The sequence below is a fragment of the Homo sapiens genome, chromosome 19 (assembly GCF_000001405.40).
Source record: "Homo sapiens chromosome 19, GRCh38.p14 Primary Assembly".
NCBI classification, from domain to species: Eukaryota; Metazoa; Chordata; class Mammalia; order Primates; family Hominidae; genus Homo; species Homo sapiens.
The window spans coordinates 31,121,638-31,147,749 of NC_000019.10; the positions used below are offsets into that span (position 1 = coordinate 31,121,638).

The following is a 26,112-nucleotide window of genomic DNA, read 5'->3' on the forward strand; positions in this document are numbered from 1 at the left end:
TACATGGCACATGCCTTATCTTTATTATACATGATAACACATTTTCCAAGATAGATGATCCGCTCTTAGTCACCTCAATACGCACCTGCTACAAACTCCCAGGCTCAGATTCAATAAACATTTCCTGGGCACTGAGTGAGTTCCTTGATTCAGAGGCAGTGACCACCATGCGGTGCTTCAGAACAAAGGCACCAGCCACAAAGACCCAATTCAAATCTCAGCTTTACCACTTCCTAGCCGGATGACCTTGGGCAAGTAACTTCATCTCTTAGTGTGGTGCCTGGTCTGTAAAACAGCAATAATACCCCCTAGGCTTTCTGTAAGTGTGAAATGAGCAAATTCACAAAGCATTTCAATTAGGGCCTGGCCCATTGCAACTGCTGCCTAAGCAGCTATTATTATTTCCAATAGGTACCATGATATCTGTTTTCTCATTATTATGAGAATCTTGTAAATTATGTACTACTGTCTGCATTTGGTTTATAAAGACACCGAGGATGGAGAAGTTCAGATATTTTGCTCAAATGTGCAGTGTTAATTAGCATCAATACCAGGGCTTGAACCTGGGTCTGGGGAGAACCTGGCCAGCTCTCTTTACTCTGGCCATGAAGTGCTGGGTACTTTGCAGGTGCATATGTGCTTCATCAATATCTGTCAAATGTTGTGTAATCGTCTGTTTTCATTCATATTCACAACTCTGTGGACATAGAGTGGTTAGCCATTCAGGAAAGAGTGAGGGTGTTCTGACCTGGGGACATCAGGCTTGGTTCCCGGGCACTGGCCTTCCCTGGAAAGACCTTCTGGGAAAACTGAAGGCTAGAAAGAAGCTTCCCCATTCAAGAAGGAAAATCCTGCAATAAGTAGCCCTGGAGCTTGCATTCCTTTTAAGAAGGGGTGAAGAATCATACGAGGCACAGCACGCAGGAGTGTGGGGTGGGAAGATGGAGGTAGCAATGCCTCAGCTGGCCAGCACAAGAGGCATTTATGAAAATCAATCCAGGCCAGGCGTGGTGGCTTACCCTGTAATCCCAGCGCTTTGGGAGGCCAAGGTGGGGAGATGTCTTGAGGCCAGGAGTTCAGGACCAGCCTGGGCAACATAGCAAGCCTCTGTCTATACAAAAAATAAAACAAAATTAGTTGAGTGTGGTGGTGCACACCTGTGGTCCCAGCTACTCAGGAGGCTGAGGCAGGAGGATTGCTTGAACCCAGGAGTTCAAGTCTGCAGTGAACCGTGATCACACCATTGCACTTCAGCCTGGGTGATAGTGCAAGACCCTGTCTCAACAGCAACAACAAAAATCAATCCACAAATACACATTCGAAACTTTTCCTCTTCTCTCCCGAACCATGGCCACCGACTAGCTCAAGCCTCTAGCATCTGTCTAGAGTGTGCTCACTTCCTTACTTGCTTGCGGCGTCCGGGCCTCTCTGCCCAAGGGCAGCCAGGATGAATTCTAGAAAATGCAAATCCAGGCCAGGCATGGTGGCTCACACCTGTAATCCCAGCACTTTGGGAGGCCGAGGCGGGCAGATCACGAGGTCAGGAGATCGAGACCAGCCTGGCCAACATGGTGAAACCTCGTCTCTACTAAAAACACAAAAATTAGCTGGGTGTGGTGGCACATGCCCATAATCCCAGCTACTCAGGAGGCTGAGGCACGAGAATTGCTTGAACCTAGGAGGCAGAGGTTGCAGTGAGCTGAGATCGCGCCACTGCACTCTAGCCTGGTGACAGAGTGAGATTCTGTCTCAAAAAAAAAAAAAAAAAAAAAAGGAAAAGAAAAGAAAATGCAAATCCACTCATGTCTTGCTCCCCAGCCCGGCCCTCCAGTGTATTCCCATTGGCTCATAGTGAATCCCACCGCTTTGCTCAGTCTCACCCAGCTCTCCATTTCTTGCCCCGTCATGCTCTCCTGGTCTCTGGGCTGCAGCTGTGGGCTTCCTGCTGGACCTGACACCTGCTCCATGACCCTCTCTTGCAGCCTTTGCACCTGCTCTTCTCTCTGCCTGGAGCACCCCTTATCCCCAAACCCCCAAGGTGGCCCTTTTCTCCACTGTGGGTTGCAGAGTACATAGCACTTGCTTAAAAACATCCCTCCGGCCACCTCATTCTAAAGAGCCTTCAAGCCCCGTCTCACTACCAGATTCCTGCCTCACTGGCATTGTCGCATTTGTATCAATAGTTGAAACTGTCTTTAGAAAAAAAACTACTTACATGAGCTCCTTGCAGGCCAGAACTTGGGATTTCTTGTCTATTTCTGGCACTCAGCACCAGAATGGGTGAAGGTGCTCCATAAACACTTGTGGATGAATGAATGAAATTTCAACCCAGGCTTTATGTGCCCAGTGCTTGACTGTGTTTTATGGGGAACAGAAATACAATTGTGTCTCAAATCCTGCCCCCAGAGAGCTTCTGGTTCTGAGCAGATATATTCACCAGGGAGTGAATACTTCAGGACAGGGAGTCAAACATGTATGTCAAGAAGTCCTAGAGGGCAGAATGAGCGGGGAGTGGAATTCCTGGGAATGTCTTGGGGAGTGGGCTGCAGATGGGTTTAAAGAATGACTGGGCTGGGCACAGTGGCTCATGTCTGTAATCCCAGCGCTTTGGGAGTCTGAGGCAGGCAGATACTTGACATCAGGAGTTCGAGACCAGCTTGATGAAGCCCCGTCTTTACTAAATAAATAAATAAATAAATAATAAAAAATAAAATTACCCAGGCATGGTGAAACATGCCTATAGTCCCAGCTATTCAGGAGACTGAAGCATGAGAATTGCTTGAGCTCGGAAGTTGCAATGAGCCAAGATCTCACCACTGCACTCCAGCCTGGGTGATAGAGCCAGACTACTTCTCAAAAAAAAAAAAGAATGATGGCACTGAGAGACAAAGGGAGGAACAGGTTAGGCTTCCCAGCAGGAGAACGACCACAGCAAAGGCCTGGGTAGGGGTGGCAGGGGCCAAAGAGAGGACATCGTAGAGATTGCCTTTGAATAGAGGAGGCAGCTGTTCCATTGATGCTGAGTAAATGCTTTGCATATACTTTCTAGTTTCTCCTGCTGTTTCCCTGAGTTAGTTCCATCAACCTGTGATGGAATGCACAATATCTTGATGTCATTCTTTTTTTTTTTTTTTTTTTTTTTTTTTTAGAGTAGGGTCTTGCTCTGTCACCCAGGCTAGAGTGCAGTGGCACCATCATTGCTTACTGCAGGCTCAACCTCTTGGGCTCAAGTGATCCTCCCACCTCACCCTCCCGAGTAGCTGGGACTACAGGTGCACAACCATGCCCAGCTAATTTGTGTATTTTTAGTAGATATGGGGTCTCACTGTGTTGCCCAGGCTGGACCTCATGGCCTCAAGCAATCCTCCCATTTTGGCTTCTCAAAGTGCTGGCATTACAGGCATAAGCCACCACACCAAGCTCCTGATTTTCATTCTTATATCTCTCAGAGATTTTTAGTGTCACTTGCCAGAGGGCACCAGGGCCAGAGTCTAATGCCCAGTACTCAATGGTGAACATTTTTGCTGTGCCAAGAGAGAACCACTCGATTAGAGGTGGCTACTGCAGGCTTTGGAAGTTTTCTACGGTGGGAACCAACAATCCGTGATCCGCCATGGTCCAGTGCATGCAGCCTTGGCTTCTCTTCCCTGGACCTGGGAAGCCTGCAGATGCTGGAAGCAGCCCAGCTGTGGCCCCTCCACTGTTCTTGCCCCTTATGTGTGGGTGTGGAAAGAACTCTCATTCAGAGACATGGTGATTTTGGGATGGAGACGTTGCTTCCTCCAACCAGACTGCTTCCTTCAGTTTCCACTGCCTGGGCTCATGCATCAGTAAGTTCTCCTACTAGAAAGTTTATTTGCAAAAAGCCATGGCCATTTGCTCACAAAGCTGTGCCCACTTTTGTCTGTGTCTTTTGCCCATTTTTTTTTTTTTTTTTTTTTGCCAAATGTAGGGTTTAAAATAAAATTCCCGTGTTACTTCCCTGTAACTGTCATAACAAATTCCATGCACTTGGTGGCTAGAGACAACATAAATGTGTTCTCCCACAGGTTTGGGAACTGGAAGTCAGAAATCAGGAGTTCGAGACCAGCCTGGTGAAGCCCCATCTTTACCAAAAAAAAAAAAAAAAAGAAAGAAAGAAAATACCAAAAATGAGCCAATGTCTACAGGGCTTCGCTCCCTCTAGAGGCTTCAGGGGAGGACACTTCCTTGACTCTTCCAGCTCCTGGTGGCTTCCATGTTCCCTGGCTTGTGACTGCAGAGTTCCAACCTCTGCCTCCGTCTTTGCCGGGCCTTCTCCTCTTCTCCCACGGAGGCAGAGAAGCGTGTCCTCTCCTCTTCAGTCTCTTACAGGGACACTTGTCATTGGATTTAGGATCCACCTGGATATTCCAGAATGGTCTCATCTTGAGATCCTTAACTTTAAAGCACCTGCAAAGACTCTTTAACAAAGAAGTTACATTTGCAAGTTCTGGAACATGCTCATATCTTTTTGGAGGCCACTACTAAACCCCCTACAATTCTCTTTACATAATTTCCCAAAACTGTTTCCCAAAAAGTTGCCAGCAGTAACCAAATTCCAGAAGTGAAAGCATGACCCTGGCCCATGGTGACAAACCCGCTTTCTACCAAGTTGATCACCACCTAACTGTTGATTCTAGCCCTTCTAATCTTTAGCCTGTGGTAGCAAGCCAGGTACAATTTGGCATTAAGATCTAAGAATGGCCAAAGTCTCTCATTGCACGCAGTGCTACCCTGATGCAGTGGAAACTACACTAAACAAGCTCCGTGGGATCCTTGGGCCTTCTCCCGTCTCCATGACTCATTGGCTGGGAGACTTTGGAAAATTTTCTCTGCTTCTGTGAACTTCAGTCTCCCTATCTATAAAATGAAGACTAGATTAGAACAGGGGTTGATATGCTATAGCTTTTTTTTTTTTTTGGAGATGGAGTCTCGCTCTGTCACCCAGGCTAGAGTGCAAATAGCACAATCTCGGCTCACTAGAACCTCCACCTCCCGGGTTCAAGTGATTCTCCTGCCTCAGCCTCCTGAGTAGCTGAGATTGCAGATGCCTGCCACCACACCCGGCTAATTTTTGTATTTTTAATAGAGATGGGTTTTCACCATGTTGGCCAGGCTGGTCTTGAACTCCTGACCTCAGGTGATCCACCTGCCTCGGCCTCCCAAAGTGCTGGGATTACAGGCGTGAGCCACTGTGCCTGGCCAGCCTGCTTTTTTAAATAAAGTTTTATTGGAACCCAGCCTTGTCCATTTATTTACAGATCGTGTATGGGGGCTGTCATGCTGCAAGAGCAAAGCGGTTGCAACAGAGACAGAATGACTCAGAAAATGGAGAATATTTGCTGGCTAGCCCTTTACAGAAAAAGCTTGCCACCCCCTAGACAAGTACAGAGCTCTGTAAAGGGCCCTTCTAGCTGGGTTATTTTGTGTTACTATGGACCAGTTCCTCATTTGAGCCCTGCCTAAAATCTGATGGTGGCCTGAGGAGCTGGCTATGGAGAGGGAGCAGGACTGAAAAAAAGGCTCCATCAGCCTCACAGTACCAGCATTGCCCCTCCCCGGACATCCTTGTGTGCACCGTGCTTCCGCATTGCCTGCGCTCCCAGAATTTAGCTCCCCCAGATCTTCCACCCTGTTCTCCCCTTGGGGCTTGCCCCCTGCAACGGGCAGGAAATGCAGACAGCCAGGGGACTTGTGGGTCCCTTTAAGGCCTTGAGACCTGGGGAAATCCCCCAGTTCTCAGCCACCTAAGGACAACTCATTCTCCCAGTCTAAGGGCCGAGTCATTCTCACTTTGCTTCTATCACTGTCCAGATTCCAGCAAAATACACCCTTCCACAGTCAAACCTCTACCTCCTTCATTCTCCTCTCTTATTTGTTAAACAAATCCTGATCTGCCTTTTTAGGCTGCTCTTGAATTTTATGGCAACATATAATAAACATCTGACTGCTTTTATTTCTATTTAACTTTTATCTTGAATGTCTCTGCTGTTTCAAACCAAATATTTACAGCATCACACAGCCGCTGCAATTTCATTCCTCACCAATACTGTCACTCCCTCCTGCTTGCACTCACCAGCCCCGTAGAGAGGCCGGGAATGTTGGGGCGAATGGTCTCTTGTGCCCCCACAGCAGGGCTTCCAGACTGGATCTCTGAGTCACTGGACTCCCGGGAGAGCAGATGGCTTTCCTGGCAGCCTGGCCCTCAGCTCGGAGTCAGGCCATCTCTGGTGACTGAAGGGCTTTCTGTACTTGGTGTCTTCACACATCGGTACTAGGTTGGGTCTGGCTGTGAGAAAGACCCTCGCATGCTCCATTAAGGAGCAAACCTGGGGAATTCGAGCACCTCTGTCTTCTCAAAGGCCTCTCTTTTTCTCAGTACCCTCAGGTTTGGCCCAAGGCCTCGGAGTGCAGCTCCTTGGTCCACCTGTGCTTGTCCCTGCTTTTCTGGCCCACCAAAAAGTGCTCCTGACAGCCCTAACCACCTACTCTTCACCAAGGCTCTCTGGTCCTGTGTGGTCCAAAAGGCCGACTGCAGATGCTCTTTTGAGTCCAGGGCCCTAAAGAAAGCAGTCCTACCTGGTGGGGGATGACACTCTGGACCTGGAGTCTGAAGACCTCGTTTTCTGTCTCTGAGCTTCAGTTTTCTCATCTATGAAATGGGAATCATAACACACGCTTGATGTGACTCTCAGGGCTGCCCTAAGGATACTGAAAAATGGCGAATGACGGCGTGCTTTGTACACAGTGGGTCGTCCAAGGGGAGCCAGAGAGTGCCTCTTTCTGGCATGCCTGAGCCTCCGGAGCTGGAGAAGCCTCCTTTGGTCTCCTAGACTGCCTTTTCTCCTCCCATCTGTCTCAACCTGCACAAATCCTGCCGGGCTCTGCACATTGCTCTGTGTTGACGGATCCACCATATTAGCCTTGCCTGGCCCTTTCCTTCGTCCTTAGAAGACTCATGACTCCAGCTGAGCTTATGGGTGAACTCTTTCACAGCAGAAACTGCTTTGCCCTTCCTTCCCCATGGGCCTTGTACCTGGTCAAGCCTGCATCTTTCAGCTCTCTGGTCATCCAGAGGGAAGTCTCACATGAGTCTTGGTGAGAATCTTCAACTTGGCCGTGCAAGTTTTCTGATACTTTCAATCCAGTTCAAGATAAGATACATACAGCAGTCACACACCCTGAATCTCAGATTCTCAGAGGTAAGATAACCTCCCCGACATGTCCCACCCATGGGGTAGCTCTTTCCAACCCCACTAGAAAGTCATTGTTATGTAGACTCGATGTTACTGTACTCCCCAAATTCATATGCTGAAACCCTAACTCACTGTGGTGGTGTACTAGTCTGTTTTCATGCCACTAATAAGGACATACCCGAGACTGGGTAATTTATAAAGAAAACGAGATATAATGAACTCACAGTTCCATGTGGCTGGGGAGGCCTCACAATCATGGTGGAAGGGGAAAAGCATGTCTCACATGGTGGCAGGCAAGACAGAATGAGAGCCAAATGAAAGGGGTTTCCCCTTATAAAACCGTCAGATCTCCTGGGACTTCTTCACTACCATGAAAACAGTATGGGGGAAACCACCCCCATGATTCAATTATCTCCCACTGGGCCCCTCCCACAACACATGGGAATTATGGGAGCTACAATTCAAGATGAGATTTGGGTGGGGACACAGCAAAACCATATCAGATGGTATTAGAAAATGGGGCCTTTGGGAGATGATTAGGTCATGAGCATGGAGCCCTCATTAATGGGATTAGTGTCCTTAGAAGAGACCCTCAGAGCTTTTTTGCTGTCTTCCCACCAAATGAGGATGTAACGAGAAATGGACAGTATACAAACCGGAAAATGGCCCTCGCCAGGACCTGACCATGCTGCCACCCTGGTCTTGGACTTCAGCCTTCAGAACTGTAAGAAATAAGTTTATGGTACTGCGTTATTGCACCCCCAATGAACTAAGACAACCCACACCCTGGCTTGTCTCAGGACAACTCTGAAGGCCACTCCATCTCTAGAGCTCCCTACAGCTTTGGCTTAGACCTTCTTGAGACTACACTGCAGCCCAACTCCTCCCTCAGCTCAGCCCGCCTCCTTCCTTTCCCTACAGTGTTGATCACAAGAACATTCCCGTCTAAACATTCTGCACAATAATCTCCATCTCAGAGCCTGCTTCATGGGGATCCCAACCCATGTGACGGTAGCCAACTGTCCTTCTTTGTGCAGGAGTCCTTTATTCTGAGAGTACATCCTAGCTACCTTTAGGGTGTGAAAATGGTCTTTCTGCTATGAAATGGTGGCACAATCAGATGCGTGTTTGTGTTATTTTTCCCTGTATTTTACTTAGCACCAGGGGCCACTGGCCACCTGAGGGTGGTCCCCTGGTTTCCTTTGATGGTGTGCCAGGATGTCAGATTTAAAAATCCAAGGACCACCACAGCTTCTCAGTCGGTTCTCTGTCTCAAGAGCAACCAGATGAAGTCCACACACGTGATGCCCCGCTGCCTTCTCAGATAAACTGTGGGTCACATCCAATTTCAGAATCTAGTGGCAAGTGCATCACATGCCCTCTCAAGAAGGCATTTCCAGTGGGTGTCTGCTGTTTCTTTTTCACCTCTCCTGTATTCACTCTACTTTCTTTTGGAGAGAATGCTGCAATTTTTGGGGGGCCCCACTCCTTACCTGCTTTCAGTCCCTGTGTTTGGGAGGAACGTGCCTTCCTCTTCTCCCGACAGCAGAGTGGTGATGTGGGCGTGCAACCCATCACAGCATTTCATCCCCTAAGGCACAGTGATCGGGTTCAGAGATACATATGTCATTGGGACAGGTCAACGACAGTGCAACCAGGGATTTTGTTGGCACTGTTGAAAATAAGAAACCCATGCCTTCATCTGTTTTGTGCTGCTATAACAGTATATGAGGGACTGGGTAATTTATAAAGAACAGAAATTTATTTCTCACAGTTCTGGAGACTGGGAAGTCCAAGATCAAGGCACCAGCATCTGCTGAGGGTCATCTTACTGCATCCTCACATGGCAGAAGAGCGGAAGAGTGAACCCACTCTGCAAGCCCTTTGGATAAAGGCCCTAATCAATTTGTGAGGGAGGAGCCCTCATGGCCTAATCACCTCATGAAGACCCCACTTCTCAACACTATCACATTGGAAACATCAGAATTTTAGAGGGAACACATTCAAACCATAGCCACCCTCTGTCCAGTATGAGTGCTAACTGTGAGAACAGGGTAAGGCCAGAGCTGGCCATGAAACCAAAGCAGAGATCAGAACCAAGAGACGAAGAAAGTGGGAGACTGATCTCTGTTAATTTTGCTTTAGTATCAACCTCCAGCGCCATACCAGAAGCCATGCATGCCATTGTACTTTCCACTTATGTCAGCTGATACATTTCCTTTTCTTCCCTTGAGTCAATTGACTTAAGTTTTTGTCACTTGCATATGAAAGAGTCCTAATGGTTATGGAATTGGAGAATGTACAAGCTAAAAGGAACTTGGATTTGCTCCAATATTAAATATGAAATGAGATCATCTGTACACACTGAAACTTATAGCAAAGCTGACAACCCTAAGTCACAATTGAGAGCCATCCTTTCTGGACAAGGAGGTCCATTCATTACTGCTTAGGCCTTCCTGACTCACTGGGTCACAGTTTCTACCACCATTGGTCTACATTTCTAAGCCCAGCCCTTGATAATTGTTAGCCTAGAAAACAGGGTCAGAAAACACAGCCCACTGGCCAAATCAGATCTGCCACGTGTTTTGAGATGGCCTATGAGCTAAGAATGTTTTTTTTTACATTTTACGATGGTTGAGAGGAAAAAAAAAAAAAGAAGTTCAATATTTTATAGCATGTAAAAATTACATTAAATTCACATGTCAGTGCCCATACATAAAGTTTTATTGGAACACGACCATGCTCATTTGTTTATGTATTTATGGCTCCAAACAGCAGAGTTGAGCAGTTGTGATGGAGACTGTACAGCCTACAAAGTCTAAAATATTTACTATTTGGCTCTTTACAGGAAAAGTTTACTGACTAGTGCTGAAAGTCTCTGGAGATGTGACCTTCACAGTTTGGTATCTAGCTTTGAGACCCCGTATCACCAACAATGAAAAGCACTTCCCTTGAAATAATTTACATAGTTACCCAAGATTTAGACAGCAGACATCTCAGGATGTAGAGGATTTTTTTCAGATTGTTTCCAGGACCTAGCTTTGAGCCAAACATACAGTATTCCTGCAATAAGTCTTTGCTGTGTAAAAACAAAAATCGAATGTTAAATTAGGCCACTGACCCTTTTAAGCCCAAAGCATAAATAAATACAGAAAATGTGAATTTGCCATTATTATTATTTTTATTTTTTTGAGACAAAGGCTCACTCTGTCGCCTAGGATGGAGTGCAGTGACGTAATTTTGGTTCATCGCAACCTCCACCTCCTGGGTTCAAGCGATTCTCTTGCCTCAGCCTCCTGAGTAGCTGGGACTACAGGCACATGCCACCACACCGGCCATATATACATAATATTATATATTATTATATATACTATAGAATATATAATTATATATATAGTATAATATATAATAATATATAATATTAATAATATATTATATATTATAAACAAATATATATTTAAATATAAATTTATATATGTTATATATATATAAATATATATATTTAGTAGAGATGGGGGTTTCCCCATGTTGGCCAGGCTGGTCTCAAACTCTTGACCTCAGGTGATCCACCTGCCTTAGCCTCCCAAAGTGCTGGGATTACAAGTGTGAGCCACTTCGCCCAGCTGATTTTTAAAGAAGATCTATCCAGGTCTTCTTGGAGCAGAATTATGTAGGCATCCAGGAATGCGAGTTGTGCTGCCAAGTGACATTTCTCTTCATGTTTTCCCTCCCTGGCAGAGTCGCCACTTGATTTAGGATCTGACACCATGGGTAGATATTGGAATTCCAGTCTTAGCCTGCAAGTCACACAATGTCTTTGAGCTTCAGCTTCCAAGCCTGCAAGATGGGGCGATAAGAGTTTACCTCCTGGGAGTTAAGAGGATTAAATAAGTTAACAGTTAAGTAAAAGTACTCTGAAATGTTAGCTTTTATTTTCATCCTTCCCTCCTTGTGTAAGAAAATAATGTAAATAGCCTTTATTGCTCTTAGTTTTTCTTGTAAAAGCTGTGGGAAGGTGAAATAACCTCATTGAAATAGAGCCATTCATAAGTAGGGTAGATCATTAACCGCTATGAGATAGATGATTATATTCCATCAGGTTCCAAGCCGACAGCACCCATTTTACAGTTTGGAACTGTGAAGTATTTGTACTGTGTGATCCACAGCTCTTAAACTTTCCAAGACTTAGTCAGTCCTTAGGTTCCAGACAAACTTTCATCCCACCTACACCCCCAACCTACTCTCATCAGGGTTCCCAATGACTGCCATATTGCCAAATCTAATGATCACTTCTCTGCCTGTATCTTACTCCGTCTCTCAACAGTATTTGAAAGAATTGATGATGCCCTCCTTAAAGCTCATTCTCATGTGGCTTAGAGGACAGACCTAGCCTCCTACACCACTGGTCAATCCTGAACTTCCTTTGCTGCTTCTTCCTTTTTCTCCTACCAACCTTTTATTTTTGTTTTAATTTAATTTACTTTTTTTTTTTTAAGAGGCAGGGTCTCACTCTGTCACCCAGGCTGAAGTGCAGTGGGGTGATCACGGCTCGCTGCAGCCTCGAACTCCTGGGCTCAAGCAATCATATTGCCTCATCCTCCTGAGTAGCTGGGACTATAGCAACATACCACCATGTTTGACTGTTTTTTTAATTTTTATTTTAGTGGAGATGGGGTCTTGCTATGTTGCCTATGTTGGTCTCAAGCTTCTGGCCTCAAGTGATCCTCCTGCCTCAGCCTCCCAAAGTCCTAGGATTATAGTATGGACAACTGAACCTAGCCTCTTCCCAACCTCTTAATACTACAGGGCCACAGGGCACTCTTGTCTTTTCTTCTTCTATATGCATATTCTAAGTCACCTCATATCACTCCATAATGTTCATGTACTGGCTACTTGCAAATTTCCTGCCCAACTTCAAGCTTTCTTCTAAATATCAGATCCTGATGACCGACTACCTCTTTGGACATCTCTTAGGCATCTGAGCCTTGCCATATATAAAACCTAACTCTTGTTTTCTTTTCTCAAACCTGATCTTTCCTCAGTCTTCCCCATCTTAGCAAATGATCCTTGATGTGGGCTTAGGGGAAAAAGAAGAACCAAGGATGATCAAAGCTTTTAGCCTGAGCAACCTAGAATGTTCACATGTGATGCTCTTTTCCTAGGCCCTGTCATTACCCCCCATTAGATGAAGGTGCAAATGTGGATATGCATACACAGAGGAACATAGACTGTATATAGATTTGTTATTATCCCTCCATCTCCCCTACAAGGAAGTGAACTCCCTGAGAGCAGGACATTTATGTCAGGTCCTGAGAAACCACAGTGAACAAAATGGACTGGCACATAGTAAGAGCTCCTCAAATATGCCTTGAATGACTCCCTGACCTTGTAGAACAAAAATGCTTCCTGGGTCTACAGAATGAGAATAGGCCACAAGAGAAGCGGGAATGAAACTTGGAAACTCAAGCATGAGTGCATTTTTAAGACGAGAGTGCATTTTTAAGACACATCTCTGGGCTGAGGCAACGCATTTACACACATGTACTGTTTTTACTGAATTCTGAACCAGAGAGCTAGATGGATAGATGATAGATAATTAAATTGGTTCCAATGACAGAGAGCTAAATGGATGTTTGTTTTTATCATGCCAAATGATCATGCTTATTTTCTGAAATTTTCACTTCACAACTGCTTGTTTTGGTGTCAGGTAGATACATTTAAGTTATCAAAACTTGCCTGGGAGGAGTGAGAAAAGAGTGTGCTTCTTGTCTCTGCTATCAGCAAATATAAGCCCACCAGGTGACAAGTCCCTGCCAAGTTCCAGGACAGCATGGGGAGCTGTGTATGATGCACTCATGGAGTCTAAAATCAGGTGGGCATCCAGGTTGGAAAGAAAGAAGTAGAACTGTCTTTATTCAACAGATGATAAGATCACTGATATAGTAAATCTGATGAAATCAACAAAAAGCTAATAGAACTAATAGGTAAATTTTGCAAGAATGCAGAACACAAGACTGACATAAAAAAAGAATTGCATTTCTATATATTAGCAATGAACAATCAAAACTCATTATTTTAAACATATCTTCCACAATAGCATCAAAAACATAAAATACTTAGGAGTAAATCTGACAAAAGATGTGAAAGACATGCACACGGACAACAAAATATTGTGAGATACGTGAAAGGAGCCCTGAATAAATGGAAATATACAGACCTTGTTCACAGGTTGAAAAACTCAATGTTAATAAGATGTAAATTCTCCCAAGTTGATTTAATCCTATCTCAATCAAAATCTTAGCATGCTATGTGTAGAAATTGAAAGCTGATTCTGAAATTCTTATAGAAATACGAAAGACCTGGAATAGCCAAAACAACTCCAAAAAAGAAATGAAAGCTGGAAAGTGGATCTTACCTGATTTTAATAATGATTATAAAGCTACAGTAATCCAAACAACATGATATTGTCATAAAGGTAAACAAATAGATGAACAGAACAGAATAGAGAGTTCAGAAATAAAGCTATGCACATATAGACAACTAACTTTTACAAAGCACCAAAAGCAATGCACTGAAGGAAGAATAGTTTTTTCAACAAATTAAGTTGGAACAATTCATTTGTATTCAACTGTATACAATTGTATATTCATATACAAAAAAATACATTTGAATCCATACCTCATATCAGATGCCAAATTAATGTAAAATGCAAAACTATAACATTTCCAAAACACATAGAAGAAAAACTTTGTCCTTAGATTAAGCCTAAAGGTCTTTCATACAACAGCAAAGCACAATCCACAGAGCAAACTGATGACTTAGAGCTCTTAGAAATTTTTGTTTTTCAAAACATGCACTGTTAAGAGAATGAAAAGACAAGCCACAGGTTAATAGAAAATTTCTGCAAGACATGTATCTGATAAAAGACTTGTATTCAAAATGTATAAACAATTTTCAAAACTTTACAATAAAAAAACAAACAACCCATTAAAAATAGACAAAATATTTGAACAGACATTTCACTAGAGAGGACACATAGATGGCCAATAGGCACATGAAAAGATGCTCAACATCATTAGTCATTAGAGACATGCACAGCAAAGCCAGGAGATACTACTTCACACCCATCAGAATGACTAAAATAAACAAAGACTGAGCATACCCAAGCTGTGGAGAAACCGGAACTCTCATACACTCATGGCAGAAATGTAAAATATTCACCCACTTGGCAAAACAGCTTGGCAGTTTCTTAAGAAATTAAGCATACCTCTGCCATATGATCCAGCTGTTCCACCTGTAGGCATTATCAGCCAAGAGGAAATACAAGTCCATGCAAAGATGTATACATGAACGTGCATGGCAGCTTCATCTATAACAGCCCCATATTGGAAGCAATTCAAATGTCCACCAACAGATGAATGAATAAACAAATTACAGTAAATCTGTACAATGGAATGCTACTCAGAAATAAAGAAGAATGAACTATTGAAATATGCAACAACATGAATGACTCTTAAAATAATTATGCTGAATGAAAGAAGCTATACCAAAGGAAGGACATACTGTATATTCTGTTTATATAAAATTCTAGAAAATTCACACGAATCTAGTGATAGGATCATTGGTTGCCTGGGGATGAGGGATTGGGGAGGACTGGGAGGGAGGGATTATGAAGGGGCATGAGGAAACTTCTGGAGGTAACGATATGTTTATTTATTGATTGTGGTGGTTTCACGGATGCATATGTCAAAACTTATCAAATCATATATCTTAAATATGTATAGTTATTGTAAGCCAATTGTAACTTAATAAATTTGCACTTTTAAAAAATCCAAGCCAGACATGGTGGTCTGCCTGTAGTTACAGCTACTCAGGAGGCTGAGGCAGAATGATTGCTTGAGCTCAGGAGATAAGGCTGCAGTGAGCTTGGATTGCACCACCACACTCAAGCCTGAGCAACAGAGCAAGATCCTGACTCTAAAAAAGAAAAAAAGTCTTATGGGAAAAAAAATCAATTTCCTGGTAAAGAATGCCAACTGCTGGGAAGAAAACAAGATCTGGAGCAAGGTGAGCGTTTAGCAGTGGATGCTGCGTAGACCTCAGGTGATGCCCAAGGAAAGTCAGGCGATATTTGAATAGAACTGAAAAGTGTTTACTGTGTGAAAAGCTGGGGAAGAGGGGAGGAGGTGAGAAAGAAAGAGAAGGGTGAAGACCTTTCCTGAAGGAGGGAGCAGCTTGTAGGAAGGCTTTGAGGTCAGGTGGAGTGTGTTCCTATCAGGACTTCAGCACAGAAGGTACACAGTGATGTGTATCAACTTGATTGGGCTAAGTGATGCCCACATAGCTGATAACATATTACTTCTGGGTGTGTCTGTGAGGGTGTTTCTAAAGAGACTGGCATTTGAACCAATAGGCTAAGTTAAGTAGATTTGCATTGACCAATGTGAGCTGTCACCATCCAATCCATTGAGGGTCAGAATAGAACAAAAAGGTGGAGGACGGGTGGATTCTCTCCCTTCTCCAGCTGGGACGTCCATCGTCTTCTCCTGCTTTGTACATCTGATGTACTAGCTTCCCCTGATGCTTGCACATCAGAGCTCCTGGTTCTCAGGCCTTCTGGTTTCAGGACTTACAGTATCAGCTCTCCTGGTTCTCAGGCCTTTGGACTTGGACTGAATTACACTGGCTTTCTGGGACCTCCAGCTTGCAGACAGCAGGTGGTGGGACTTCTTGGCCTCCAGAATCATGTGAGCTGATTCCCATAATAAATCCCCTCTTAATCTATCTGTCTGTCTGTCTGTCTATCTATCTATCTATCTATCTACCTATCTATCTATCTATTATCTATCTATCTTTATTTATTTCTATTTACCTGTCTGTCTATCTGTGAATACCATTCCTTCTGTTTCTCCAAAGAGCCCTGACCAGTATAGAAGCTGTGATGGATAACACTTAACTCACTTTACTCAACTTTTTTTTTTCTTTTCAAAAAAGAGAGCTTTGGGAGATAAATGGTTCAAATTGTTCACGCTCCAAACCTGCAGGTTTTTCCACCATCAGAAGGATGACCATAAACTCACAGTTCTGGACTCCCTTAGGCCACCAAACTCCCCCTGACTTGAGCAGGCTTGTCCTCCAGCCTGAACAACCCCGGGGCCCAGTCACATCTGCTGAGTGGCTGCTCTGTGGAGGCAGCATGACTGGCCCGATGGGTACAGACACAGCCACTGGCACAAGGCCCACCTTGCTCTGCTCTGTTCAGTGGCCTCAGAACACTGCTTAAGCTCTCTGGACCTCAGGGTCCTACCTGTAGACAGTTCCTTTGGGAGAAGACCATGACAGCAGGTCTTTGGGAAAGATAAAATTGTGTGTAACTGCAAAGGGTGTTCACCAAAGGACTTTGTCTCCAGGTGTGGCCAACCGCTGTAGAGACTCTGGGACCCCACCCAGAGTCCCTTGCCAGCTAGTGTGTGCACCCATGAGGGTAGGCTGCTAAAATCTCACTCCTGCACCCTCCTCTGGAGGACTGCCCTCCTCCTTACTTACAAATGCTGGGATGATATGCCCTCCCTAAGGAGGGGTCCCCATCCAATGACTAACTAGTGGAGAGTGGCAATGGTCAGACCACTTGCCTTAAGGAAGGATGGCTCTGTGGTGTCATTCAGGTACCAGAACTCCCTGTGGAATCAGCTGAGGCCAGACTCCAGCTAGGTCCACAGCTTGGCCTGGCTTCTTTCCCACCCCTCCTTTGCTTCCTGAACAACCTCACATTCTCCCTGCGAGCACCCCCTTGATCAATCAAGGCACCAGCGTTCTAGACACTCTGATTCTGGAGAACCCTAACAGAGACTTCTGAGACCTCAACACTCTGAGATTTTTTTCTTTTTTCTTTTTTTTTTTTCAAACAGGGTCTCACTCTGTCTCAGGCTAGAGTGCAGTGGTACAGTCATGGCACTGTAGCATCAAACTCCTGGACTTAAGTAATTTGCCCACCTCAGACTCCCAAAGCACTAAGATTACAGGCGTGAGCCACCGTGCTGGCCCCACTCAGAGATTATTAACGGCAGGTGTAACATCTTTGCCATAAGCCATCCCACCTCTGCCCCACATGGAGGGTCCCACTGTCTCCCTTCCCAGACCTGCCTTGGAACACTGAGGAGCCTAGGGCCCAGGACCTGACTCACTCCTGGATGTTTTGTTCACACTCTTTTCAAAAAACACATTCTCAATAGCTTTAATTTAATCAAAACATTCTTGACTAAGATCATTAAAGCCTCTGAGAGAGGCATTTAATTCTAAATTCACCATATCCACGGCATAGCAGTTGAGTAACTGAAAAATCAACTTTATGTCATAATAGTTTGTTAGAACGTTTGTTTACTCTTCATCTGAGACATGCTAATTAAAACAAGAGGCCTTCACAAGCAATCCAGTTAGCAAACAGGATTGGTTAATAGATAAGGAATGGTTGTTAATTACAGGGAAGCCCCTCCCTGCCCACATGGATTGGGTTGTTCAATGGGGTCCACGGAATGCAACCTTTGGTTCATCTCTTCCCTCATCGAAGACACTTAGGAACATCTCTGAGAAACACTTACCTTGGTCGGGTCTCGCCTGTCACCAGATCTTTCTGAATTCATCTTGAAGGGAAGTGATTCAGGACCCTTGTGGATTTCTGTTTCCCTAGGGCGGAGCTATTCCCACTCTCCCACCACCTTGCCTGTTAGCATGTGGTCCTAACTCCTGCTGCACTGGCTCCTCACGCAGGATAAGGAGCTGTTGCAGAAAGTCCCCTGCTAACAACTGGCCCTCTGACTGCTGTAGGAGACCTGGCCAGCCCTACTACCTTCCCACAGACACACCCCCACATGTTCCAGAAGCCAGTCAATGGGGGCAGGGGGCATGCTCCTTACTATGAGTTCAGGAACATCTCCAAACATAGACACCAAGGGGCCCAGGATGCATTTGTTAAGTTTCAAAGTATCAAACCCCTTACCCTTCCAACACGGTTTCCACTCTGTCTGGCCTTTTTCTGCCTTTCTGCATAATTGCACTTTCACGGACAATTTTTCATCTGCTTCCCTCCCTCACAAGTCTAAGACCAATCACCCAATATCCTGCTTTAGTCCTGCCCAGCAACCTCTCCTTCTGGCATATTCCCCTCCCTTCAGAGCCCTGGGTATTCATGCACATCCGGCCCTCAGCCAGGACATATACTCCCTGCTCTCCCCAGCCCCCAACTCAGGAACAGGGCTCCTAACCTTCCCGTAGACTCCAAGATGTTAGAATGAAAAGACATCTTACAGACCTCATTTTAAAGTAAAGAAACTGAGGCAGAGAGGCAGTGATGGAGGCGTTGTCATATTTCTGGTTGGAAGGCGCAACCCAAGGCCACGTTGCTATTTTTAATGTCTAATCCACATTACAATGTACATAAGTCATGAGCTGATTCCAACCGTGTTACTCATTTTTGTCATCCCTGTGTTGAGTTAGTTCTCTTATGCAGAGTTTCAGCCTTCCAGAAGCTAAAAGACTAATACAGGGAGCTGTCATGACAACGACACCATGGTAGCACTTAATGAAAACTTGAGTTATGGAAATATAAAATACTGAAATAAAAATATTAATAAAGCCTCGCTTTTATGTGGAATTTGGAAATATGTGAACAGCAAAAATTTTATCACTATGAACACATTAGTCTTGAATTAGGTGCATTTTGTATTGAGGACTTGAAGAAGGTCTCCTCATTGTGATGACTGAGGTGGACGGGGACTCCAAAGGCTCTTTAAGCTTTGAAGAGCACAGATGGCATCATTTGTGCCTGCAGTCTCCCGCAGGCCTGGCACAAAGAATAGGTGTCTGGTAGGTGTTGGACAAGGAAGGGGTAAAGGAATGGATGTTCCTACTCTGAGGCCCTGCAGCCTCCAGTCCCAGAGCTCGCTTTGGGCAGAGCCCTGCAGCAGAGAACTCCTGTAACTGTGGGGACCTCTTCTGGAGGGGCTGGCGTCTCAAGGGTGATTGGCTTCCTGGCAGCAAACACAGGCTCCATGCTGGAGTGTTTGAAGGTCTACGTATCAAAAGGGAGGAAATGATTAATCATATGTAGCCAGCCTGCTGAGAGGAGGGCTAGGAAAACCAGGATGGGAATCAGAAAGAAGCGTCCTCCTGGCCAAGGACGTTTCCTGCCTTCTTACCTCCATTAGAGGCACTTTCTTCTCCGACCTCAGTCTTTTCTGTGCAGGAAATCCTGGCCTTTTTAGCTGCTGTAAGCCTTTGCTTGCTACTGGTCTCAGGAAGCTGTCCTGGACTGATGTCTGAAGGCAACTGCCACTTCATTCTCACTAGTACTTTCTGAGCGCTGAATACATCTCAGGCTCTGCCCTAAGCACTTCTTTAATTCTCCCGATAACCACATGAGGGAAGTGCCATTATTTCTTTTTCCCAAGTGAGGAAACTGAGGTTCTGAGAGGCTAAGGGTTGGAACTCACAGCTCTTCTCTAAGCAATGGAGATGACTTTGGAAACCATTTGACTACAAACCATTTACACCGTCTTCCCCTCCCAGCCTCCGCCCAGGTTGCCAGCCTCACATTGTTGTGGTTCCCCTAGTTTCCTCAAAAGTCAGGCAGCCCAGCCTGGGGGAGATCTCAGGAAACTCCAAGATCAGCTTCTACATGACTGGAGGCCACAGCTGCTACCACCACTCAAGCCTGGCAGCACCAACGCCAGGCCTTGGTGATGGATGTGTGGGCCCTGGCCATCTGCCTGGCACCAACCAGACTCCCAAATGCCCCAGGGATTCAGAGTGTGCCAGGAATCCCCCAGGCCATGCCTGTGCTAGTTTCTGCACCTTTGCTCACTTGATCTCCTCTGCCTGGAGCTTCTCTTTCCTTCTCTAGCCCAATCCAACCCCTTTTCCATGGTCGGATCCAATCCCCACATCCCCAACTCTTGGGAGTCCTGCTGGCTTCTTCCTTCCTCATGTTCCCTGTTGGGGTTTGGTGACTCACATAAATGTTGTAAATGTGCATGATATAAATAAGGAAAACAGACCTGTAATAATCCTACCGGAACTATGAGGGTCAATGGTATAGGAGGTCCAGACTTTACAAGAACTCTCCCATTTTGACGTAAATTAATTTCAACTTATAAAACACTGTCTATATAAAAGAAAGTCCATCTTTGGGTTAAATCTGAGCTATGAACCACCAGTTTGCAACTGTGTCCAAGAGTATGTGTGGTGTGTATCATCAGAGCCAGTATTCAAATCTGAATGGCCCAGCGTGAGTCCCTCAACTTCCTAATATGAGTGACTCGATTTCCCCACAAGGAAACTCCCGCCTCCTTTCCAAAGATGAGGAAGTTATGTTGATCACATTTTCCTTGATCCTCTCACTATCAGGAACCTCCAAACCAAAACTGAGCTAGGTCACAGAAATTATTTTACCCTTCATTTTCTCTTTTGTTCTTCTATTTTTATGTTTTGTGCTTTCATTATATTTCTGTGGCAAACTATTGGAGAAATTTCATGAAAGATGTAGGGAAGAATTAAACACATGAATTAAGTAGGTTTCAGGGGGATGTCTCCAAACCCTAGGAGGTCAGGAAACATTTCCTTTCCTGTCTTAACCCTGACCTTTTTCCAGGTCCAGCTGGGCACGTGTATTGCTCAGGGTTCATTGTTTGCAAGTTGCAGAAAGCAACTCGGGCTGGCATTATCACAGGGGGATTTTTTTAGAAGAAGATGGAGTAAGTCAGAAAATGTAAAGCAAAAACAAAAGAAGAAAAAGAACCAGTCGGGGAAGGATCTGAAAGCAGAGCCATGGCGGGCTGCATTGGACTCTGACTCCAGTTGCAACCTGGGATTGATGGATTCCAACTCCGCTGCCTGCTGATCGGGACTCAAATTCAGAGAAGTTGGTATTGCTTGGATAACATTTCCTCTCTTTATCAGCCTCGCCAAGACCCTTAGAAAAAGGGAGCCTGAATTCCCCGGAGGAAAATCTGGGCGAAATATAGGGAAAGAATGGATGTACTAAATGGATCTCGTTGAAGTGTATTGAACTGAGCCAGGCCTGGTAGCGTAGGAGAATCTAGTGTGGGAACGTTCATTCAATTCATTTCTCTATTTCTTGTGGATCCAATGGGAGCCATCATGGCAGGATGAATCATGACCCCAGAAAGGAGCCTTCACTTAGGAAGTTGGATAAAGAAGAAAGTGGGGTTTCCCAGAGCTTCCTTCATGGGTCTGAAATGGAGCAGGCCTACCTGAGCCTCAGAGTGGCTGCCACCCCCTGCAAAGCAACCATAAATGCCACCTTCTGTCCTGTCCTGGACTATACAGTTCTGGGCATGCTCAGTATCTTGCCACAGGGCTCAGCCCACGCGACAGTGCTCCAGCATACTCTTCTCATCCCCTGGGTTGCCAACGTTTAAGGACTCCACAGGTATTGAGGTGTAGGGGTTAAGAACTCACATCGAGAGCTGTCAAGCCCAGGATCTGAGCTCTGTCTTCTCCAGTTGTCAGGTTTTAAACCGGTCTGATTGCTTCTTTTAAAACTTCCAATTTCTCATCTGTGAAATGTGGATAATAATGCTGACCTCATAAAGGTCGTCAGGAGGATATGAAGATGTTGAATAAGATTATCTTATTCCACAAGTGGCTCCTAAGCAACTACTCCATGCTACCCTCTTACCAACCTCGGGGGTTGCAGCAGGAAAAGGACAGACAACATGCTGCCTTCCTGGAGAGAGACGGCAATCACACAAATAAATGCACATATTATTTCAAATAATAGTAAGTACAGTGAGGAAAAGTCAATAGGGCATTGCAGAGATGGAGACCCATCTTCAGCAAGGAGGGACTCGCTGCCCAACTGCAGGGAAAGTGGTTAGCTGCAGAGCAGAGCTGCCTTGACAAGGGTCTCATCCTTCCTGGGGCAGCCTCCATCTGAGAACTAAGTAAGGTGCCTGTAAACGTCTGGCCATTTTGGCTCACGGCGGGATACGCTGATGAGTGATTCTTACTCCCAAGCCACCCACGTCAGTTGCATTTCTTCCTCTGCACAATGTTTCTACCCTCTTCCCTACACAGGGGTTGATCCCTCTGAAACATCTTGCAACCAAAACTCCATCTTGGCGTCTGCTTCCTTCTGAAGAACTCAACCTGGGACACAGTAAGAGGACAGATCACCTACCTGTGAGGACCCCTGTGATTCAGGTGGGTGGTCAGGGAAAAACTCTGCAGAGGTAGCATGTAAGCAGAACCCAGAAGCAAGGGCAGGAGCAACAAGACCCTGTGGGGGAGACTGGTGCACAGAGGAGCCAAGAAATACTGCAAAGATCGTGGAGAAGGAGACAGGCAAGGCCCGTGTGGTCTGGTGGGAGTAGTAGGAGATGAGGTCAGAAAAGGAAGAGGTGATCATATGATGCTGTGAGGTCATAAAAATTGCTGCTGGCTTTTACTAGAAGTGAAATGGGAAGTCACATGAATTTTGAGCTAGCAAGTGATGTCTTATGTTTCAAATGGTGAATTCTGGCTGCTGGGTGGACAATGGCGTGAGAGGAGAGGAGAAGCAGAGTAGTAGTGTAGAAGGGTGTTTTGGTGGTCTAGGGCAAGAGATGACCACAGTTACCTGTTATATGGCAATCGTAGCAGCTGTGGTTGTAATATAGTAGTATTGTGGTAATACTAATAGTAGTTGTCACTGTAGTCGTGGTTGCTAGGTCAAGAGCAGGGAGTTTTCTTCACCCCACAGCACTGGGCTTGCCATGCAGTATTTGCAAGCAGCTCCTCTGTTCACGGTCCATCTGCATAAGGCCTCCCATGGTGCAGTGAGTGTGTGAGGCCAGACCTTTAGAGATCACAGCCTCAAGTTTTGTTTGTCTCATTCTGGCTATGCGAGAACATGCTGCACCCAAATATGCAATTTGCAAATTCTGGCCTAGGTTTGCTGCTGTTCATTTCATTTTCCAGAAAGTTTTTACATCCCTTTCAGCTGCTGTATGGTTTTCCTGTGTGGAGGACTGGTCAGAGTATGTTTTCTTCCATTCAGCGGCTGTAAATCCCACCCTGGATGTGGCCTGGGGAGGCTGGACCTCTGCCTCTCTGCACCTCCTCTTTGGACCATTCCCTTTCCCTTGGATTTCTCTTTGGTCACAGGAGGTACGATAGGTCGCTGGCCTTCTGCAACCCCACTCAGGAGAGGGATCCTGAGGCCCCGGCTTCAGAGAAAATTCCATAATCAACTAGACTGAGTGATGTGTTTAGGAGGCCAAGGCTGATACTAACTATAATTCACATTCCCCGGGCACTCTGCTCCGTAATAAAGCCTGGATGTCAGATAGCCCGGCCAAGAGCTAACATACCTGTTTGAACTAGTCTTGTGCCAATAGAAACACGTCAGAGAAGAAAAACATTTAGCCAACTGTCTGATGCAAATGGGTTCTTTTCAGCCAAATGAAGAAGGATTGCCTAGACAGGGGCATATGGGTATGTTAAATGTTAATACATAATAAAGCATCACACCTCTTTCCTTTGGTGTTCACAAGGTAACGTCCCATAAATAAATAGAGTGACGAGCTTTTAGACCCTCCCTGAGCCACCCAAAGCCAGAAGGAAACTGGGTGGGCCCCTTCTCCATCATGCTACCACACGGGGTACCCACTCCAGGATGTTTATGCACCCGGTGTCAGAATATAAAAATGTTTAGCCCTTTCCGTGTGGAATTAAGAGGTATGAATTTGTAAGTGACTCTGTTTAATCAAAACCTCCATTGAAACACCATTTAGCCCAAACCCTATCAGTGAATTTCAAAATACAGATTTTGCTGGTAAAATAGCCCCGTGTTGCCGTTTCCTCGTCAAATATGTATTTAGCCCCCCGAGAATCCTTTTTACTAAGCCGGCAGCTCCAGCATGCACAATGGTTTAATCGTATATTGTTCTCTGAGTACCAACCCTTTACAAATCATATGACATAAAAAGAAAAATAAGTAACATTGTAAAGACAGTAATGAGAACTGTTGAGCTAAAGTGCCTCTTAAAGAAATCCTAATAAATTCCAGAATTTCTAGTCTTCTGGCAAGCTTTCCATTTAGAACAAAATCAATGATCAATGGCTGCAACGAGCCAGCATTAGGCTTGCATGCCTCTGGAGCAGGGAAAACTCATAGACGAAAGATGACATTTAAGGAAAAAAAGCTGACATTGAGTCCATCACTGTCATCGCTTCTGCCATAAAGCAGCTTCAAATATTAAAACATTTTTCATCTGTGCTGCATTATTGGCACCAGAAATTGTTTTCTCTCTGTCTGGTGCGCACTTGAACTGCAGCAGCGCTCCCCGGAGACTCCGGATTGTTACTAAGGCCTCATAACATATTGGCAGTTGACGTGGTGGTGTTCATGTACACTTGCCACTCACACGGAGCCTCCCCTCCCCCGGCCTGCACGCCAAGCCGGCTGCAAGGGGACCTGGGCTCTGTGGCTCAAATGCGGGGGACAGCGGGTAGGCACATGCATGCTCTGTGATTTCTTTTTTGCAGTCTGCCTTTCCCTGGCCACGACCCCATCCTTGCCCCTGTCTGATGTCCAAGCTGCCCCTGCTGAGACAGACCTGGCCTCTTCTGGACAGCTCCAGTCACATAAGGACTCCATAGCTTGTGTGGGCTCAGAGCACTTTGGCTGCAGAGAGGAAAGTCTTTACCACTGGGCAGGTAGAAGCTGCTTTTCCTTTTGTACTCCTGGACCTAGCACTCTGCTTTATGGGCACTGTGGCCCCTGGGCTCTGTTTTATGATTCAGAGAAATAAGGATGTCTCAGCTTCTGTTCCTGTCCTTACAGGACTCACTAGTTCGTGATGAAGATGGTGACACGCCCACCTGGAGAGATGTACACGGTTTCCTTGGAGGAAGCCCACGGCCTGGAGTGAATCACTCAAGCAGAGTGTTCGCTGGGTGACTGGTGTCCCATGAGGGCACCAGGCGGATCACATTGAATATAAAAGATGCTCCTTGGGGGCCCTCTTAGCTCTTGCCACATGGAACCCTGAGAAGGGCAGGGCACCTTGGGCTGGAAGGAAGATGCTGTCAGGGCGTGCACTTGTAGAAGAGGAGAGGCGCCACCAGGCAATTCCTGGGATTGCATGGTTTGCTGAGAGAATTGGGGCCGGGGACCTCGGGAGCCGTCACGCTTGTGTGGTCCTAGACATTCTCAATCACTCCCACCCTCGCCCTAAAACTTAGTCGGGATGCCCTTTTCTCTCTACGTGGGGACCCTGCTCTAGGGAAGAAGCTGTAGGGGGCTGGTGTGGCCGGGCTGTTTCTGCCTGTCTGCATCTTACATTTTACTTCTGGCAGGCACTTTTCCCAGGGACTGGAACTTCAGCCTCACTCCCTAAATTCTCAATTCTCCCAGAATCCCCAGCAACCAACCAAGGGGAGCTCCAGGGGCTGAGGGTCAGTGAGGCACAAATGGCAGGTGGATGGCAGGATTCCTGGGTGTCCCAACCCACACCGCACCCATGTGGCCCTTGGGTCTCAGCACCTGCATACCCTGGCCAGCGTGGGGCCAGTGTGGGACCAGCATGGGGCCAGTGGGAACACAGCAGCAGGCCCAGTGCTTACTCCAACCTCAGGACTGGGCCTGGGGAGTGGCAGGTTGGACTCCTCCAGGAGGCACAGCACCTAGAACCCATGGTGCTTTCAGGGCATTGAATAAAAAATGTTTTCATCCAATTAAAACAGGAAGAGGCCAGGCCCAAAGGCCTGTAATCTCAGCATTCTGAGAGGCCAAGACAGGAGGATTGCTTGAGGCCAGGAGCTCAAGATCAGCCTGGGCAATATAGGGAGACCTCATCTTTACCAATAAATAAATAAATAAATAAAATGGGAAGAA

General features: G+C 45.8%; 3 long non-coding RNA genes across 7 annotated transcripts in view; 2 read left to right on the forward strand and 1 right to left on the reverse strand.

Annotated features, from left to right (window-relative positions):
• LOC124900621 (uncharacterized) overlaps positions 1-4,112 on the forward strand; it is a 25,306-nt gene extending 21,194 nt beyond the window's left edge. The window contains exon 3 of the long non-coding RNA XR_935901.2: positions 4,050-4,112. This is a non-coding gene — a long non-coding RNA (uncharacterized LOC124900621). The remainder of the gene's footprint in view (positions 1-4,049) is intronic.
• On the reverse strand, positions 3,918-18,492 carry LOC105372356 (uncharacterized). Of its 5 annotated transcripts, none has more exons than XR_001753892.1 (6): positions 10,191-10,379; positions 8,990-9,099; positions 8,711-8,808; positions 7,874-7,939; positions 6,601-6,673; positions 3,918-4,442 (listed from the first exon to the last, which is right to left on the reverse strand). It is a non-coding gene; the product is annotated as an uncharacterized LOC105372356 (long non-coding RNA). The 5 variants fall into 5 exon arrangements; XR_935899.3 differs by lacking the exon at positions 3,918-4,442 and adding an exon at positions 18,214-18,492 and having other exon boundaries at positions 4,948-6,673; positions 10,191-10,296; XR_001753895.1 differs by lacking the exon at positions 6,601-6,673.
• Positions 6,600-25,150, forward strand: LOC105372358 (uncharacterized). The gene is made up of 4 exons (XR_935902.3): positions 6,600-7,223; positions 22,311-22,436; positions 24,762-24,932; positions 25,060-25,150. It is a non-coding gene; the product is annotated as an uncharacterized LOC105372358 (long non-coding RNA).
• The last annotated feature ends 962 nt before the right edge of the window (positions 25,151-26,112 follow it).